Below are 19,570 nucleotides of genomic sequence, written 5' to 3'. Positions count from 1 at the left end.
TCAGAGTTAAATGGATTAAGGGCGGTGCAAGATGTGCTTTGTTAAACAGATGCTTGAAGGCAGCACGCTCCTTAAGAGTCATCACCACTCCCTAATCTCAAGTACCCAGGGACACAAAAGCTGCGGAAGGTCGCAGGGACCTCTGCCTAGGAAAGCCAGGTATTGTCCAAGGTTTCTCCCCATGTGATAGTCTGAAATATGGCCTCGTGGGAAGGGAAAGACCTGACCGTCCCCCAGCCCGACACCCGTAAAGGGTCTGTGCTGAAGAGGATTAGTATAAGAGGAAGGCATGCCTCTTGCAGTTGAGACAAGAGGAAGGCATCTGTCTCCTGCCCGTCCCTGGGCAATGGAATGTCTCGGTATAAAACCCGATTGTATGTTCCATCTACTGAGATAGGGAAAAACCGCCTTAGGGCTGGAGGTGGGACATGCGGGCAGCAATACTGCTTTGTAAAGCATTGAGATGTTTATGTGTATGCATATCTAAAAGCACAGCACTTAATCCTTTACCTTGTCTATGATGCAAAGACCTTTGTTCACGTGTTTGTCTGCTGACCCTCTCCCCACAATTGTCTTGTGACCCTGACACATCCACCTTACGAGAAACACCCACAGGTGTGGAGGGGCAACCCACCCCTACATTGCTCAACTGGTCAGAATTCTTTTTGTTTTGTTTGGTTTGGTTTTGTTTTTGAGACAGAGTCTCTGACGCCCAGGCTAGAGTGCAATGGTGCAATCTCGGCTCACTGAAACCTCCTCCTCCTGCGTTCAAGCAATTCTCCTGCCTCAGCCTCCTGAGTAGCTGGAATTACAGGCACCCACCACCACACCCGACTAATTTTTGTATTTTTAGTAGAGAAGGAGTTTCACCATGTTGGCCAGGCTGGACTCGAACTCCTGACCTCAGGTGATCCGCCCGCCTCAGCCTCCCAAAGTGCTGGGATTACAGGCATGAGCCACTGCGCCCAGCCAACTGGTCAGAATTCTTATAGAGCACATCAAGATGTCTCTGGTATTTCAAAAACCAGTGTTCAAAAGAAAAATATAGTATCGGTTCTATCCCACTTAGTTTTGCATTTACTGTAGTGATTAAAGGCTCATACATACCATGGGACATCTGAGAGAAGTAACTGCAAGCAGCTTAAAACTTTCTCGGCCGGGCGCGGTGGCTCACGCCTGTAATCCCAGCACTTTGGGAGGCTGAGACGGGCGGATCACGAGGTCAGGATATCGAGACCATCCTGGCTAACATGGTGAAACCCCGTCTCTACTAAAAATACAAAAAATTAGCCAGGCATGGTGGCGGGCGCCTGTAGTCCCAGCTACTCGGGAGGCTGAGGCAGAAGAACCGCTTGAACCCGGGAGGCGGAGGTTGCAGTGAGCCGAGATCACGCCACTGCACTCCAGCGTGGGGGACAGAGCGAGACTCCATCTCAAAAAAAAAAAAAAAACAAAAAAACTTTCTCATCATGTCCTTTACAAGCAAAACATAAGAATTGTTTTAACAGTTGATTTTGCTTTCTTTTTTTTTCTTTTTTTTTTTTTTTTTGAGAAGGCGTCTCACTCCGTCGCCCAGGCTGGAGTGCAGTGGCGCAATCTCGGCTCACTGCAACCTCGGACTCCTGGGTTCAAGCGATTCTCCTGCCTCAGCCTCCCAAGTAGCTGGGACTACAGGTGCCTGCCACCACACCCGGCTAATTTTTTGTATTTTTAGTAGAGACAGGGTTTCACCATGTTAGCCAGGATGGTCTTGATCTCCTGACCTCATGATCCACCTGCCTCAGCCTCCCAAAGTGCTGGGATTACAGGCTTGAGCCACCGTGCCCAGCCAATAGTTGATTTTTCAAACACAAAATTTAAGAATTTCAAACATCAGGCCACACAGTTTTCATCTTTTTTTTTTTTTTTTTTTTGAGATAGAGTCTTGCTCTGTCACCCAGGCTGGAGTGCAGTGGTGCAATCTTGGCTCACTGCAACCTCTGCCTCCCAGGTTCAAGCGATTCTCCTGCCTCAACCTCCCGAGTAGCTGGGATTACAGGGGCATCCCACCACGCCTGGCTAATTTTTTGTATTATATTTTTGCATTTTAGTAGAGAGGGGGGTTTCACCATGTTGGCCAGGCTGGTCTCTAACTCCTGGCCTCAAGTGATCCACCCGCCTCAGGAGTGGAATTTCTGGGTCATATGGGAACTCTGTGTTTAACCTGTTGAGAAACTACCAGACTGTTTCCAAAGTGGCTGCACTATTGTACATTCCCACCAGCAGTATATGAGGGTTCCAGTTTCTTCATATCCTCACCAGCACTTGTTACCTGACTTTTTTTTTTTTTTTTTTTTTTTGAGATGGAGTCTCGCTCTGTCGCCCAGGCTGAAGTGCAGTGGCACGATCTTGGGTCACTGCAAGCTCCGCCTCCCAGGTTCATGCCATTCTCCCGCCTCAGCCTCCCGAGTAGCTGGGACTACAGGCGCCTGCCATGCCCGGCTAATTTTGTTTTCATATTTTTAGTAGAGATGGGGTTTCACCATGTGAGCCAGGATGATCTCGATCTCCTGACCTCACGATCTGCCCACCTCAGCCTCCCCAAGTGCTGGGATTACAAGAGTGAACCACTATGCCCGGCCTTTTTTTTTTTTTTTTTTTTTTTTTTTGAGACGGAGTCTTACTTGGTCGCCCAGGCTGGAGTGCAGTGGCTCAGGCTCACTGCAACCTCTGCCTTCCGGGTTCTAAGCAATTCTCCTGCCTTAGCCTCCCAAGTAACTGGGATTACAGGCATGCACCACCATGCCTGGCTAATTTTCATGTTTTTAGTAGAGGAGGGGTTTCACCATGTTGGTCAGGCTGATCTCGAACTCCTGACCTCAAGTGGTCCACCCATCTCCGCCTCCCAAAGTGCTGGGATTACAGGCATGAGCCACCATGCCCGGTCCTGACTTTTTTATTCCAGCCATCCTAATGGGTGTAAAGTGGTACCTCACTGTGGTTTTGATTTGCATGTCCTTTATGACTAAGTATTTTTATTCTAATATCTCTTTTCATTAGCTTTCCTATTTCCTCCCAGCCCAAGCTGTGACTATCACATTTCATTATTGCCAGTGTGCCTGCCCTGAAAGCCCTTCATTTCCCCCCAACAACTGCCTTTCACTTACTGTGAGCTGGGAATCCATATAACCCAACTTGTCAGAACTTTGTCCAAAGTCAGATTAAATGGATTCTGAACAAGCCCCACAAATAAGATACGTGCTTGGATTTTGTGACTGCTTATCTGGCAGTTTTGAGACTATTTCTGCTTAAAACCAGATTTTATTTGAAAAAAAAAAGACGGAAGGAAGGGAGGAAGGGCAGGAGGGAAGGCGAGAAGGAGGGAGTGAACCAATGCAGCATAGCCTAGTAAAAGTTACTCTGGCCTGGGCTCTGATTCCAGCTCAGCTTCCCACTAGTTGTGTAACCTTGGACAAGGTCCCCTAACTTCTCTGAACCTCCATTTCCATGTATGGTGAGGGTTTGAGCTAGATGATCTTTTAGTATTTCTAGCTCTGCTAGTCGGCCTACAACCTCATGCAGGCATCCCATCTCTGCCCACATTGTGCCTCGTGCTGCTTCACTCCTCTGCACGTTTGCACACTCCACTCCCTCTTCTTGTAATGAGCACCCTCCCACACCATTTGTCTACCTGGCAAACTCCTATTTATTCTTCTTTATTCCTCTAGCTTCATTGAGTTATGATTGACAAATAAAAATTGTGTGTGTGTATATATATATATGTATATGCATAATATATATGTTTTTTTAAAGACAGGGTCTTGCTCTGTCGCACAGGCTGGTGTACTGTGAGGCTCGCAACAGCCTCAGCCTTCCAGGCTCAAGTGATCCTCCCACCTGAGCTTCCAGAGTAGCTAGGATTACAGGTGCACACCACCACACCTGGCTAATTTTAAAAATGTTTTTAGAGACAGGGTTTCGCCATGCTGCCCAGGCCAGGCTGGTTTCCAATTCCTGGGGCTGAAGTGATCATCCCACCTCAGCCTCCCAAAGTGCTGGGAGTACAGGTGTGAGCCACTGCAGAGTGGATAATTGTATTTTGCAATATGAGAAGGACATGAGATTCAGGGGGCCAGGGATGGAATGATATGGTTTGAGTGTTTGTCCCCTCCAAATCTCATGTTGAAATGTAATCTCCAATGTTGAAGGTGGAACCTGGTGGGAAGTGATTGGATCATGGGGGTAGATCCCTTATGAATGGCTTAGCGCCATCCCCTTGGTAATGAGTGAGTTTTTGCTCAGTTCATGTGAGATTTGGATGTGAGATTTGGTTGTTTAAAAGAGTGTGGAACCAGGGGGAGATGCCTCTCTCTCTCTTGCTGCTGCCTCTCTGCCATGTGATGCCCTGGCTCCCCCTTCACCTTCCACCATGATTGTGAGTGTCCTGGGACCCTCACCAGAAGCCAATGCTGGCACTATGCTTCGTGTACAACCTGCAGAACAGTGAGCCAAAATTAAACTTCTTTTCATTATAAATTACCCAGCCTCAGTTATGTCTTTACAACAATGCAAGAATGGGCTAACATAGCACCCAAATAGCCGAAGCAATCTTGAGAAAGAAGAACAAAGCTGGAAGCATCATATGTCCTGATTTCAAACTATACTACAAAGCCATAATAATAAAAACATTATTAACTTGGCAAAAATTAACTTGGCAAATAAAACTGGCTTCTAGAAGAAAATATAAGAAAAAGGCTCTTTGCCATTGGTCTTGGCAACAGTTTTTGGGATATGACTCTTACTTATTCTTTTATTTAACTTTTTACAATGAAATTTCCCAAAAATCTACAAAAAGAGAAGAATATAATGAACTACAATCAACAATTACCAACTTCTTTTTTTGTGAGATAGAGTCTCGCTCTGTCACCCAGGCGGGAGTGCAATGGCACGATCTTGGTTCACTGCAACCTCCATCTCCCAGGTTCAAGGGATTCTCCCACCTCAGCCTCCCAAGTAGCTGGGACTACAGGCACATGCCACCACACCCAGCTAATTTTTGTATTTTTTGGTAGAGATGGGGTTTCACCATGTTGGCCAGGCTGGTCTCAAACTCCTGACCTCAGGTGGTCCAACTGCCTTAGCCTCCCAAAGTGCTGGGATTACAGCCATGGGCCACCATGCCCAGCCAACAGTTACTAACTTCTGGTGAACCCTGCTTCATCTATACCTGCCCTCCACTTCCCACGTCACTTCAATCTGAATCATTTTGAAGCAAATACCACATAAGATACATCATTTGTCTTTTTTTGGGGGGGAGGGGTGACGTGTTATTGTTTTGTTTTGTTAGGTGAAACTCAAATTAACCATTTTAAAGTGAAAAACTGCATGGCATTTAGTGTATTCACAATATTGTGCAACCATTACCTCTATCTAATTTGAAAACATTTTCATCACCCCAAAAGGAAATCCCATACCCATTAAGTAGTTGCTCCCCATTCTCCCCTTCTACTCACCCCGGGTAGCCACCAGTATGCTTTCTGTCCACGTGGATTGACCTATTCTGGATGTTTCACACAAGTGGAATCATACAGTATGTGATCGTTTGTGCCTGGCTTCTTTCACTTAGCACAGTTTCAAGGTTCACCCATGTTGTAGAGTATGTCAAGACTTCATTCCTTTTTATGGCTGAATGATATTTCACTGTATGGATAGACCACACTTTGTTTATCATTAGTTGATGGACACCTGTTTTCATCTGTTGGCTATTGTGAATAGTGCTGCTGTGCACTTGGGTGTACATGCACTTGTTTGAGTCCCTGTTTTCAATTCCTTTGGATATATACCTAGGAGTGGCATTGCTGGGTCATGTCGTGATTCTAGATGTAACTTTTTGAGGACTTAGGGAGCCTCTCCTTTGTGAAGCCTGTTCTGATGTCCTCACATACATGCAGTTGAGCTCTCCACCTCTGTCACACTCTCTGTAGTAGCACCTATCCATAGGTGTAGCCGCTGCACTTCTGGATTATCAGCCTCCTCTGCTATCAGCCATCCACTGAGCAAAGGGCAGACAGGCAGGAACTGGGGCTCTTCTTCAAGACTTTCCTCTTCCATCTCCCTTCTGTCGTCCACACACACGATCCAAAGATCAAGGCCTGAATTGCTGAATTGGTACTATTGGTTAATTTGAGGTTTTACTGTACTGAATCCTTCTTCTGGTAAACTTTCTCACCCATCCTCATTCTTGTGAACAAATGTGAACCTGAAAGAGCTAATCCTTCAGGACGGATCCTTAGTGGCTAACTGGGCCTAAATTTAAAACAGAGCCAAGGGGCCATTTGCTGACTAGAGGTCACACACATACTGAGTTCCCTGAAAATCCACACCTCTCTCTTCAATTTTGGGGTGTTCAGAGCTCACTTGCACCAGCCACTCACAGCTCAGTTATGTCAACCAATCTCAGCTCAGCTGTATCAACCAATCAGGGCTCAGCTGTGTTGACTAATTAAAACTAAGCAAATTTGAATCCTTCATTTGCATAAATAGACCTGATTGGGAACCTGGGCAGGGACTTTCCCTATAAAACCTGAACCCTCCCTTTGTTCTCTGGAATGCACCTTCATTTTATACCAAAGGCTGCATCTCCCTGGTTTGCAAACTGTTCACTGGAATGAAGTCTATTTCCTGGCCAGGCATGGTGACTCACACCTGTAATCCTAGCACTGTGGGAGGCCAAAGCTGGAGAATCGCTTGAGCTCAGGAGTTCGAGACCAGCCTGGGCAACATAGTCTCTATAAAAATTTAAAAATTAGCCAGGCATTGGCTGGGCACGGTGGCTCACGCCTGTAATCCCAGCACTTTGGGAGGCCGAGGAGGGTGGATCACTTGAGGTCAGGAGTTCAAGACCAGCCTGGCCAACATGGTGAAACTCCGTCTCTACCAAAAATACAAAAATTTAGCTGGGTGTGGTGGCGCATGCCTGTAATCCCAGCTACTCAGGAGGCTGAGGCAGGAGAATTGCTTGAACCTGGGAGCCGGAAGTTGCAGTGAGCTGAGATCATGCCACTGCACTCCAGCCTGGATGACAGAGTGAGACTCCATCTCAAAAAAAAAAAAAAAAAGAAAAGAAAAGAAAAGAAAAAAAGAAAGAAAAATTAGCCAGCCATGGTGGTGTGCACCTATACTCCCAGCTCCTCAAGTGGCTGAGGTGGGAGGATCACTTGAGTCCAGGAAGTTGAGGCTTCAGTGAGGCATGATCGTGCCACTGCACCCCAGCCTGGGCAATAGAGCAAGGGCCTGTCTCAAGAAAATAATAATAAAGTTTCTTTTCTCCAAATCCCTTTTCAGAGAACTTTTGTTCACACTCCCCGTAGTTCACATGAAACTAATTCCCACCTGACCTCTGGCTCAAGGGATGGACACGTGATCTAAGTCAGGCCAACTGGAGTCGATCCTGGGACTCCTGATGGCTACATTCAGAGAGGAGCTCTACTCCCTAAACTCACCGCCTACAAGGACCCTGTGTAGCCAGGGCTGCCAGAGCACAGTCTGGATAGACCTGAGCATGAAGTCACAAGGGAGGCAGGCAAAGCCCAGACACAGAGGCCAGAGTTGAGTTTCTGGTAAAACCAGTCTAGCCCCTGGATGCAGTCCCACCTGAAGCCACCTTCATCTCTTGAACCTCCCTTGTCATGAGCCAGTAAGTTCTCTTTATTGCTGAAGCTAGTTTGAGTGGGTTTTGCCACCTGCAGCCCAGTGACACGTGGTGGTGGACCTGTAAGGCACTGCCTGCCAGCGCCTCCCCTCATGACCACACCTCCCTCCAGCCATGCAGTCTTCATGGGAGCCACCACATTCTCAGTGTGGGGCTTTGGAGCTTGGGACCAGAGGGAGGCAGTGCCGGTTCTTGGGCCCTAGGGGCAGGTCATTGTGAAAGGCTGCAGGCAGGCAGGGGAGGTGAGAGACAGCACCCACCACAGCCCCCAGGGCGGGGCCCAGCCTCCCGCGACCACAGTACACTCACCCTCCGCGTGGCTTGGCTGCTCAGCCTGTCTTTTGATCATGTAAGAGATGCCAGTCTACTTTGCACTGATCCCCTTTCTGGCCTAATCTAGTTTGGGATGTGTTTCAGTAAGCTGCATATCCATGTGGCTCCCACAAGCTCCTTAAGGCACAAACCTCTTCTTATTCACTTCTGCATCTGTCACCCTTGCAGAGCGCCCTAATGGTCCCTGACTTAATGCCAGCTAGGACCCAGCACTTGCCTTTCTGTGAAGTGCATGCCTGTGCCAGGGACTGTGCTAAGTCACTATGTGTAACATCATGCTCAGGCCTCCCAGTATCGCCACTGGATACTATTAGGTTGACCCATGTGTTTTTTCCAAAATCCAACTGGTTTTGGATCTACAGAAGCAGTAACTTCATATGGCCCAAACTAATATGAATTTTTTGCTGATGAAGCCAGAGAGATGGGGTCTCGCCCAAGGTAAACCAGCTAGAAAACAATGATTTGCGCTGATAGGAAAGGTGAGGACTTGATCTCTGGATGGCATGAGTAGGCAACCAAAGGGAGGATGAAAGAGGAAAGTCTCGAAGCAGAGCCCCGTCCCTGCCCCTCTGCCCTTTGCTCAGTGGATGGCTGACAGCAGAGGAGGCTGAGAATCCGGAAGTGCAGCGGCCACACCAGGCCGCTTCAGCACTGCCCTGATGTGGGGCCACAGTGTGTCCAGGAGGCAGGCCACCCACTGTTTCCCACAGGGCCCAGCCCTGCCCCGCCACAAGTGGGTCACAGCATCTTTGCCACCCCTGGAAGCCCGAACCGCAGTCCCAGAGCAGCAGAGCACTCTCAGGGCCGGGCTTGTTCTGCAGAGCCCTGGTGGTCAGGTGCCCCTGGGGCCTCTGGGGCAACATGTCTGTGAGGCATACCCGAAGTGGGCAGAGCAGGTATTCTGGAGCCTTCTGCCCAAGCCTGGTGACCTCAGGCAATCCACTTCACTTCTGGCTGCCTCTTTAATGCAGCTAAAAAATTGACATAATGCAGCACTGGTCCCATGAAGTTACTATGAGGATTTCATGAGTTAATCCACGCAAAGTCTCTAGGACAGCCTGTGACCAGTGCTTCTCCCTCCCCCACACAGGCCCTCTAGGACGTCTTCGCTCTCCCCTGCATATCCACGCCAGTGTCGGCTATGCTACACTTCGCACCCGCTCCATGGTGAGCTGTGCTGTGTGTCCACACTTCTGTCCACCCAGCTGGATGATAAGCAGGCTCAGGGGCTGGGCTTCCCTCCTCAGGGACCTCCCAGTCCCTCAATGGATGGGCGCGTGACTGTGACCCCGAGATATAAATCCCCTGAGGGCGCTTCAAGATGCCCCCAGCTTTAGAAAGGGAGAGACCAAGTGTGAAGCAACCAATGACTGAGACAGAAATCTCAGTTGCAAGCCCGAGGCTGCAACCTGGAAGACAGTGGGGCAGCAGTTGAATGCAGAGCTCAGGAGCCATGGTTGGGGCCAACAGGATGGCCCAGGCCCTCCTTCCCCTGGTCAAAGCCCAAGGCCCTGCAGAGCCGGCCCCTCCCCAGGCAGCCTGGGCCTCCTGGAGGACCCTTGTTTCAGCCCCAGGAATGAAGATGGCCAGCTGAGGCTGCAGCCTCTCTCGGCAGGGCCGTGAGCGGTGTCTGTGCTTGAGGACCAGCTCCAGGCCCCTGCTGAACAGCCCCTGCGACTGCAGCGCTTCCCCGTCTTCAAATGCAGGCCGAAGTTCAAGGCACCTCCATCCCCAAGGCTAGGATCCAGCCTTGGAACCAAGCCTCTGCCCCCATAGCCCACAGAGCCCTCCAGCCCTGAGCGGAGCCCACCCTCCCCAGCCACAGACCATAGAGGCAGCGGCCCCAATCCCTGACCCTGTCCTCTCCTGATGCATGAGATTATTTTATTAAAAAAACTCAAAGAAAAAAAAAATAGAACAGGTACCTAGAGGAACTGGAGTCTGCTGGAGGGCAGCCTATGGCGGGCTCCCACACCTCAGGGGGCAGCTCCTAGGCACTGCCCAGCCAGGAACCGCAAACTGTGTTACCGGTGGGTCCCCCAAAAGAATATGGAAACACCTTATACCCTCTCACACGTTTAAAAATTCATATTTACAACATTAAACTGGAAGCAAAGGATGTGATTTCCTGGATATGGTAAATATTGAGTTTTTATTCACTTATTTTAAATGTTTTTTAACTTTTCTTATTTATTTATTCATTTTAGAGACAAGGTCTCACTCTATCTCCCAGGCTGGAGTGCAACGGCACCATCACAGCTCACTTGCAGCCTTGAACTTGCAGCCCAGCCTTGAACTGGGCTCAAGCCATCCAAGAAGCTCGGACAACAGGGTGTTCCATCATGGCCAGCTAATTTCTTCTTTGTTGGTAGAGATGGGATTTTGCTATGTTGCCCAGGCTGGTCTTAAACTCAAATGATCCTCCTGCCTTGGCTTACTCCTCCCAAAGTGCTTACGGGCGTGAGCCACTGCGCTAGGCCAACACTGACGTTAAATGAGCTGTTTCATCACTTGTATAATGCATCCAGCGGCTTCTAAAAGCCCATAGTTGCTGGATGCCCACCACTACCCATGTAAAAGTACATGAACAAGCTCTTTTTTTTTTGAGATGGAGTTTCGCTCTTGTTGCCCAGTGCAATTAAGCAATCTCGGCTCACTGCAACCTCCACCTCCTGGGTTCAAGTGATTCTCTTGCCTCAGCCTCCCAGTAGCTGGGATTACAGGTGCGTGCCACCACACCCAGCTAATTTTTTGTATTGTTAGTAGAGATGGCATTTCACCATGTTGGCCAGGCTGGTCTCGAACTCCTGACCTCAGGTGATCCACCCTCCTCAGCCTCCCAAAGTGCTGGGATTACAGGCGTGAGCCACCGCGCCTGGCCTTTTTTTTTTTTTTTTTTTGAGACGGAGTCTCGCTCTGTGGCCCAGGCTGGAGTGCAGTGGCGCGATCTCGGCTCACTGCAAGCTCCGCCTCCCGGGTTCACGCCATTCTCCTGCCTCAGCCTCCCGAGTAGCTGGGACTACAGGCGCCCGCTACCACGCCCGGCTAATTTTTTGTATTTTTAGTAGAGACGGGGTTTCACCGTGTTAGCCAGGATGGTCTCGATCTCCTGACCTCGTGATTCTCCCGCCTCGGCCTCCCGAAGTGCTGGGATTACAGGCGTGAGCCACAGAGCCCGGCCCTGGCCTTTTTTTAAATGAAGTTTTTACATCAGTTTATTTCTCTTAGAAACTCGTATTCAATTCCACTGCCCCCACAAACTTTGAGCCTACAATGATGTATTCTCATGCCTGAAAGTATCTTATTGGTCACACCATCCTACTTCTCCATAGTAGAAACTATGCGTGTAAACCAAAATGGAAAAACACACATTTTCTGTGACTACAATCACTAAACGTTTCAAAGAAATTGCCAAGCATGGCAGCTTGCACCTGTAGTCCCTGTGACATGGGAGGATAGTTTGAGGCCAGGGGTTTGAGGCTGCAGTGGGCCATTACTGCACCACTGCACCCCAGCCTGGGTGACAGTGAGACCCCCATCTCTTAAAAAAAATTCTGGTAAGTTATTACAAATAACATTAGCATACAATTCATCAAAACATAAATTTATTACAATTATTTTTGAGACAAGGTCTCGCTCTGTTGCCCCAGCTGGAGTGCAATGGCACTATCACAGCTCACTGCATCCTTGACCTCCCAGTCTCAAGTGATCCTCCTGCCTCAGCCTCTCCAGTAGCTGGGACTTCAGACACGCGCCACTATGCCCGGCTAATTTTTTGTAGAGATGGGGTTTCACCATGTTGCTGAGGCTGGTCTCTACTCCTAAGCTCAAGTGATCCTCCTGCCTTGGCCTTCTGAAGTGCTGGGATTACAGGGGTGAGCCACTGCACCCGGCCTACAAGTGTTGATAGATACTTATTAAACAAAGTAAAATGTTGTTAGCAATGTATTTCTTATACATTGATTGTTGCGCTACTACCCAAACCTCATTTAGTGCACCAGTGGATAAACATTCTTTATTTCTGTGATGAGTCAATGGTCGGCATCGTCTCTTCCAATTTCTCATTTTTATAGAGGTAAGCACTGAGAAGTCTTGTCACATAAATAAGCAAAGGGAAAGGAGGGAGTACTGGAGCAATGCAACACAATTATTCCTTTGAATTTTCTGCCCAAAATCCATAGTAATCCATCATTAAGAATTATTTTTGTTACCACTGGGTAATGGGTAAGTAAAGGTTCATTGTAGAGGTCTCTCTACTTTTGCCTGTGTTTACATTTTCCATAGTAAAAGTTAAAGAAATTATTTTTAACCTCTATTAGTTGACAAGTTGGTTGGATTATCCCCCAATTTTATTGCAAATATAAAATGAAAACCTCCTGACTCTCAGAAGGGTTTATCTCCAGTCTCCGGAGTCCTTCAAGCTCCTCTTCCTTTCCAGACCTAAAGCAATTCTTCTAACTGGCCTTTTGTCTGTCTCAGGATGGGGAGTATGTTCCCCAAAGCTGCCTTCTCAAGGAGTTGGTGCCTTTTGGGGAGTCTTGGATGCCCCATTCGAAGACTGTGGTGGGTGAATCAGGAGGTACCCCTTCGCCAAGAGCCTGGGGAAATGGGCCAGGCCAGGGAGGACGGAAGAATGGCTCCATCTCAGAATGCAAGTGCATCCTCTGCCCGCTCCAGCTCCTCCATGTGCCCTGCCCAGATCCTGGCACTTCTCACTGGAGAGGACTCGGGCCCTGCCCGGGGTCATGCAGTTATGAAGGATGAGGCTAGAACCCTTTGCACCCATCTTTTTCAAATTACTTCAGCCAAAGTAAGCTTGGTGAATAAGTTGCAATTAAAATAAAGGTGAACAAGCCTGGTGTGTTGGCATGCATAGTCCCAGCTACTCTGCAGACTGAGGGGAGAGGATCCCTTGAGCCCAAAAATTCAAGGCTGCAGTGAGCCATGCTGGTGCCACTGCACTCCAGCCTGGATGACACAGCAAGCCCCTGTCTCAAAACAAACAAACGAAATAAAATAACAAAATGAAAAAGGTGAACAACTAAATGTGATCCTGGCCGGTCGCAGTGGCTCACGCCTGTAATCCCAGCACTTTGGGAGGCCGAGGCGGGCGGATCACGAGGTCAGGAGATCGAGACCAGACTGGCTAACACGGTGAAACCCTGTCTCTACTAAAAATACAAAAAATTAGCCGGGCGCGGTGGCAGGCGCCTGTAGTCCCAGCTACTCGGGAGGCTGAGGCAGGAGAATGGCGTGAACCCGGGAGGCGGAGCTTGCAGTGAGCCGAGATCGCGCCACTGCACTCCAGCCTGGGCGACAGAGCGAGACTCGTCTTAAATAATAATAATTAAATTTACAAATGTGATCCTGGCGTGGCTCCTGGATGGGGATGGGAAGGGGATGTGCTATAAAAGACCTCGTTGCGACATTTGGTGATATTTGAGTAAGGTTGTGCAGATTAAATTATTGTATTATGGTTAAATCACTCGATCTTGAAAACCACTGGGGTTGTGCAATAGAATGTCCTTGTTCTTGGGCAATACACATTGGAGGACTTAGGGTTCAAGGGCCATCGCGCCTGCAACTTACTCTCCGATGCTTGCAATGGGGGCTTGAATATGCAAGGGCTGGGGAGCAGAATGTTAAAGCTTGGTGAATCTGCATTAATAAGGGAGGCAGTTCTCGGAACTATTCTCACGGCTTTTCTGTTACTTTGAAATTATTTCAAAACAAAACGTAAGCCTGGTCTCTGTCACCGCTTTGTGGCTGCTTCGAGGAGCGCACCCTCTGTGTCCAAGACCTTAAACTCCCTGCCTGGGGTCTGGGCTCCCGACGTTCCTGCCTACGCCGGTTTGATTGCCCTTCAAGCTTAGGTCCCTCTGCCTCTGCGAACCGCTGCAGGCCCATTTCTTGCACAACCAAAATGAAGTCATACTAATCTTGGCTTGAGAGGAGCCAGAATTTCAGAGCCTCCAACCCTGATGCTTTCTACAACCTGGGAAGCTGAGGCCCGGAGACGGAAGTGACCAAGCGCGACTAGATCTAAAGCCTTCCCGACTTCCATTTTTCTCAGTAGGCAAGTGGTCCAAGCCCCACCGTTTCCTTCTTGGATTTGAGTCTCAACTCCAGCCACTCCCCTCAAGTCTGGTCTCCCACTCTCACGCCCCTCCAGCCACTGGCCTCAAAACCACCGAGCACATCCACGCGGCCCTCGCCGACTCCCGCAGGGCTGCCTCCACCCCGCTGCTTCTTGCCGGCGCATAGCCTCCCAGAGCCTCCAATGACCGCCCAAGCGACTGCCCTCCCTCCCTCCCTCCCTCCTTCGCCTCCCCATCTGTGCAATTGAACATTCATTCATTGCCGCGGACTCGAGGCTGCCCAGTCCTCTTCCGGACAGGGCCCTGAGGACAGGACCTGGCTATCCGGCTTCGCGGTGTGTCCTCAGTGCCTGGCCCAGAGCGGCCAATTTGGCGAGAGCAGGAATCTCTGTCCCTGGTTCCTTTAGTCCCCAGCTTTGCTCCCAAGTGACCATCCGCGAGGCAGCGTCCCCTCCTTGGCATCTGCGGCTTCTAAGACGCTCAAGGGCCCAAGGGGGTGAATGAGGTGTGGGCGACTAACTGTAGCCCTGTCCTCTGGGGGCAGCATGCTGCGCAAGTGATGCCCGGCCAGGGAACGGGGTGCTGGGGCCGCAGTCACCGCAACTTCTGGGTGGAGCAGCGAGGGCCCGGGGGGCTCGGGAAGCTGGGGGTGTACCCGCAGCCGGGGAAGCGGAGGCACAGGACCTGGGCCCAGGGCTCGGAGCCCTTGCTCCCTCCAAGCGAGGCGGGACGAGCACGGGCTGCGGGACCTCCGCCCCGTGCCCCCGCCCCCCTAGGCCGGCTGGGAGCTGGCCAGGGGCTCAGAGGTCGCACCTCTGGCCGCGGGAGGACGAGGCGGAGCCGGAACGGAAGCGCGGACAATGGGCCCTCCGGGGCCGCTTCCGGCCTCTCTCTGCGGGGCGGGAGCACGGGAGAGCCTGGGGCCTGGCCTGGGCGGGGCTCGGGCGCCCTCCCTGGGTTGCCTTCGCAGCACCCCAGCCTGGGCCCCTCCCACCCCTGCCGGTCAGAAAGCAGGGACCCGCCCCGCCCCAGCTCTGTCCCCAGGCTAAGAACCTGGCACAGGCTGGCGAGTATGGAACTGGGTTGTTTTTAAAAACTTTTATTCATTGAGTTATAATTTACATCAGGAGAAGTGGCCTCAGATCTCAAATGTGAAGTCTGGTAAACTTTGCACGTTTATACCCTGTAAATGCTCTGAACAAGACATGGAACATTCCCAGCAACCAGAAAATTCCCTGGTGGCCCTTCCCAGTCAGTCCCTCCCCCCAGCCCCAGCCCTAGCCCTGGCAACTACCCATCTGTGTCCCGTCCTGTGGCCTGGCCTTTTCCAAACAGCATGTACATGGGATCCTGCAGCGTGGAGCCTTTCCAGCCTGGCTTGGAGATGCATCCTTGTGTCGGAGTATCAAGAGGCTGTTCCTTTTCGTTCCATTGTATGGAGGCCTCCATGTGTTTACCTCTTCACCAGCCCAGGGACACTTGGCTTGTTTCCAGATTGCAGAAATTATCAATGGAGCTGTGACAAGCATCTGTACAGGTTTTTATGGACCTGTGTTTTAATTTTATTCCAATATCTAGACGTGGGATTGCCAGGATGCACGTGTCTACATTTGACTTTTTTTTTTTTTTTTTTTTTTGAGACAGTCTCACTCTGTCTGTCCCAGGAGTGCAGTGGCGCAATCTCGGCTCACTGCAAGCTCCGCCTCCCGGGTTCATGCCATTCTCCTGCCTCAGCCTCCTGAGTAGCTGGGATTACAGGCGCCTGCCACCGCGCCCGGCTAATTTTTTTTGTATTTTTAGTAGACACAGGGTTTCACCGTGTTAGCCAGGCTGGTCTCTATCTCCTGACCTCGTGATCCGCCCGCCTCGGCCTCCCAAAGTGCTGGGATTACAGGCGTGAGCCACCGCGTCCAGCCACATTTGACTTTTTTTGAAGAAACTAGCAAAAGGTTTTACAGAGTGGCTGCACCATTTCACATTTCACCCCTGCCCCTGTGGCTCCACATCCTCACCCACACTTGGTGGTGTCAGTCTTTTCTGTCTCAGCCTTTCAAGTGGGAGTAGGGCTGTCTCAAGACAGGGTTGACTGAGCAAAGAGCGAACTCCCACCCAGCGCCTCCCAGTGGTTTCCTGCCCTTCCCTCATCCTGCTCCCAGATGGAGGTGCAGGCAGTGGTCCCAGCCCCAGCTCTACCCCACGAGTCCCCAGGTGAATGCTCCACCCCACGAGTCCCAGGACTGAGCAGGCACGCACCTTCCTATGCTCAAGTCCTCCTCAGACACTGGAGCAGGGAGGCACTGGCAGAGTCCCCAAGTCCAAAGTGATGGGCTGTGTTTCCACCTGGTCCTACCTGCTTAGCCATCTAGCCTTCTTCCCAAACAAGCAGCCTCTGGAGGAATCACTGGAAGACAGATGGGGAAGGGGGCGGTGAACACAGGTGCTGCGTGGGAAGCCGAGGGGATGGGTGGCTGCAGCCTGTGCCCCCAGCAGGTAGGCAGTCCTCATGGTTGGACCACCCACATCCACGGGCCCCCCTGGAGGCCCTGCTCTGCCTCTGAGACCCTGTGACCCTGTGTTTTGGGAGATGGGGTGGCAGTACCAAGGTGAGCCTGACTGCCTTCAGCAAACCTTTACTGTGCACCTACTGTGTGCCGGGCCCTGCTGTGGCCCTGGAGACATATCCCCTGCCCTGGTGAAGGTCCATCCAGTGAGAGAGATGGATACTAGCCCTGATTGGCACTTTGGTCAGGGAGGGCCTCTTTGGAGGGGGATATTTGAGCAGAAACCTGAGGGATAAGAAGGCGGCAGCCCTGGGGAGATCTGGAAAGGGCATGACAGGCAGAAGGCACAGCAAAAGCACCGTCCTGGACCAAGCTCAGTGAGGAGGCCAGTGCTGCTGGAGCGGAGAGCCAAAGGGAAGCCTCGATGGTGCCTCTGCCAGGGGTCCCAGCTACTCAGGAGGCTGAGGTTGGAGGATGGCTTGAGCCTAGGAAGTCGAGGCTGCAGTGAGCTGAGATCGCAACACTGCACTCCAGCCTGGGTGACAGAGTCAGACCCTGTCTCAAAAAAAAAAAAATAAAGAAGTGGAGCTGAGGATTCAGATATGCAGGAAGTGAGGGAAGATCATGTGAGGACACAGCCAGAAGGCACCATCTGCAAGCCAAGGAGAGAGGCTGCAGCAGACACCAACCCTGCAGACTCCTTGGTCTTGGACTTGGCCTTGCAGCCTCCAGAACAGCGGGAGAGGTCACGGGGCCAGGGGGAGGTTTGCTTGCTAGGCTGCCGTAACAAGAGGCCACAGACTGGATCGCTCAACAACAGAAACCTATTTCCTCTCAGTTCTGGAGGGTGCAAGTGGTACAGCCACAGCTCACTGCAGCCTTGACCTCCTGGGCTCAAGCCATCTTCCCACCTCGGTCCTCTAAGTAGCTGAGACTACGGGCAGCAGCCTCCATGCCCAGCTAACTTTTTGTAGAGATGGCGGGGCGGGTGGGGGGGGTCTCACTGTGTTGCCTAGGCTGGTCTCGAACTCCTGGGCTCAAGCGATCCTCCTGCATCAGCCTCCCAAAGTGCTAGGATCACAGGCGTGAGCCACCGCACCTGGCCCTAATCTCCTCATACCATCTCATTTTAACTTAATGAACTCTTTAAAGGCTGTCTCCAGATACAGTCTCATCCTGAGGTATTGGGGGTTTCAACATTTGAATTTGTCGGGGGCACACAGTTTGGACTAAGACAGAAGGAAGAGGAGGCCAGGGCGATTGGGATTGGGGCCTGAGCCCCGGCTGAGTGAAGGAGAGGAGAGCACCACATCTCCTTCCTCAGCCACTGAGCGCCTACTGTGTGCAGCCCAGCCTCTGGGGGTGAGGAAGGCAAGGCTGGAGGTGAGAACCTGGCTGGGAGAGCTGACTCGGGCCTCCTGCTCCTCCGGCCTTTCCTCCTTCCTCCTTCCTCCCGGTGGGGGAGCCTGACCCCCTTGGACAAACATCTTGCGGCTGTTTCCGCCTCGCCAGCCCGGAGCCCCAGCCCAGCCTGAACAAACACTCGGGACTCGTGCTTCCGGCCTTGGCTCTGGGAAAAGCCCAACCAGGAGCTGCTGAGGTCAACCCTGGAGGGAAGTGGAAGGGGGAGGCACCCAGTCCCTACGTAGGGGTCAGCCGGACCTGGCCTGGGGACCCCTTGCTGCTTTTGGAGCCACCAGCACAGTGCTGGGGCTCTAGTGTGCCCCATCTGTAAAATGGGCCTAATTACACCCTCTGGAGGACTGTGGGGCAATGGAAAGCCCTGCCTGGGCCTGGCACCAAGGACGGGTGATATGGCCCACAGGGCTGTGAGGGGCTTTGGGGAGTAAGGTTATCTGAGGTCCAGTAGGCACCCCAAGGGACTGTCCCCAGGGCACCTTAGTGCTGGAAGGGGCCAGACTACTCCTTCCCTCCTGTGGCCGTCCTGTTCTCCTTCCCCTTCTCCCTCCTGTCTTCACAGTCCCCATAGTGCTGTCGGCAGAGCCAGCAGATGAGGTGGCGCCATTTTGGGTGCAGTGCTGGGTTATGGCAGGCCCTCGCATCACACCGAGTCTCCTTCGTGGATACTGATCTCAGATGGGGATGTGTCGGGTCCCAAGCCCAGGCCAAGGGAGCCAGCACTGGGCAAGGACAGGAGGAGGGTGGGGCATTGATGGGGGCCACCGTGGGAATGGCTGGCTCCGGGGCATGTGGTTAGCACACAGATGCCTTCATCCCCACCCAGGCTGAGCAGGAGCCGGAAGCTTCTTTCTAGGAAAGGCTGAGGTTGTGGGGCTCATATGTTCCATGGTCTTCACCTCCAGTCCTGCCCCACCATTCTAGAGCCTCCTGGTCTCCCGGTCAGTGATTAGGAACCTGGCCGGGGTGGGGGTGGGAGTGGACATTTCCAGCAAGGGGACATATGTGTGAGGCTGACGGTGAGGAGTGAGCTCCCTGTCCCTGGAAGTGTGAGCAGACGTAGCTGCATGTGTGGGGCGGGGGAAGGAGTGGCCCTGCCTGACCCTGCCTGTGTTTCCTCTTCATTAACTGCCCCTAGAGCCCTGTGCACTGTGGCATGAGCCCAGCAAGCTAGTGGGCTCTGGGGCCAGAAAACCCCAGGTTCACATCCCAGCTCTGCTGTGTGACTGAGGACTCCTGACCAGGCACACCCTTTGATGCCTGTGAAGGGGTAACACCCTGCCTCCAGGGCTGGCAGGGAACTAACTGAAGTTATTAGGGAAGAGCGCCCACACACAGCATGGTCAGCACCGCTGTCCCACCCCAGCAGCAGCAGCGACCGCCCAGCACCTGCTGAGCTAGGAGGTGGGAGCATGCAGGGATTTGGCAGGAGCATGGAGGGATTGCCCACTCCACCACCCAGGGAAACCAGGCCTGCTTTCTCCACCGCCCACGGGGGTCCGGGCCTGTGTCCACCGTTCAATCCCCCT

At 51.8% G+C, this 19,570-nt stretch overlaps 1 pseudogene, besides 7 other annotated features; it reads left to right on the top strand.

Annotated features, from left to right (window-relative positions):
• Positions 98-707: an enhancer, noted in NCBI's record as "NANOG-H3K27ac hESC enhancer chr3:129360029-129360638 (GRCh37/hg19 assembly coordinates)". NCBI's record gives its function as "activates a minimal SCP1, AML or CMV promoter by ChIP-STARR-seq in naive H9 embryonic stem cells {active_cell/tissue: H9 hESC(naive)}" and the evidence as "EXISTENCE:reporter gene assay evidence [ECO:0000049][PMID:30033119]".
• Positions 1,320-1,929: an enhancer, noted in NCBI's record as "H3K27ac hESC enhancer chr3:129358807-129359416 (GRCh37/hg19 assembly coordinates)". NCBI's record gives its function as "activates a minimal SCP1, AML or CMV promoter by ChIP-STARR-seq in primed H9 embryonic stem cells {active_cell/tissue: H9 hESC(primed)}" and the evidence as "EXISTENCE:reporter gene assay evidence [ECO:0000049][PMID:30033119]".
• Positions 9,401-9,874, top strand: CARMIL2P1 (CARMIL2 pseudogene 1; annotated as a pseudogene).
• Positions 13,996-14,105: an enhancer, noted in NCBI's record as "active region_20518". NCBI's record gives its function as "activates an Ori minimal core promoter by ATAC-STARR-seq in GM12878 lymphoblastoid cells {active_cell/tissue: GM12878}" and the evidence as "EXISTENCE:reporter gene assay evidence [ECO:0000049][PMID:35858748]".
• Positions 14,756-15,085: a silencer, noted in NCBI's record as "silent region_14728". NCBI's record gives its function as "represses an Ori minimal core promoter by ATAC-STARR-seq in GM12878 lymphoblastoid cells {active_cell/tissue: GM12878}" and the evidence as "EXISTENCE:reporter gene assay evidence [ECO:0000049][PMID:35858748]".
• Positions 16,338-16,947: an enhancer, noted in NCBI's record as "H3K4me1 hESC enhancer chr3:129343789-129344398 (GRCh37/hg19 assembly coordinates)". NCBI's record gives its function as "activates a minimal SCP1, AML or CMV promoter by ChIP-STARR-seq in naive H9 embryonic stem cells {active_cell/tissue: H9 hESC(naive)}" and the evidence as "EXISTENCE:reporter gene assay evidence [ECO:0000049][PMID:30033119]".
• Positions 17,600-18,375: an enhancer, noted in NCBI's record as "H3K27ac-H3K4me1 hESC enhancer chr3:129342361-129343136 (GRCh37/hg19 assembly coordinates)". NCBI's record gives its function as "activates a minimal SCP1, AML or CMV promoter by ChIP-STARR-seq in naive H9 embryonic stem cells {active_cell/tissue: H9 hESC(naive)}" and the evidence as "EXISTENCE:reporter gene assay evidence [ECO:0000049][PMID:30033119]".
• Positions 18,013-18,307: an enhancer, noted in NCBI's record as "tiled region #14456; HepG2 Activating DNase unmatched - State 8:EnhW, and K562 Activating non-DNase unmatched - State 23:Low". NCBI's record gives its function as "activates a minimal TATA promoter and a strong SV40 promoter by Sharpr-MPRA in HepG2 and K562 cells {active_cell/tissue: HepG2 | K562}" and the evidence as "EXISTENCE:reporter gene assay evidence [ECO:0000049][PMID:27701403]".

This window comes from Homo sapiens, chromosome 3 (assembly GCF_000001405.40).
Source record: "Homo sapiens chromosome 3, GRCh38.p14 Primary Assembly".
NCBI classification, from domain to species: domain Eukaryota; kingdom Metazoa; phylum Chordata; class Mammalia; order Primates; family Hominidae; genus Homo; species Homo sapiens.
The sequence above is the reverse complement of the archived record's forward strand: the minus strand, read 5'-3'. Positions and strand labels throughout refer to the sequence as shown.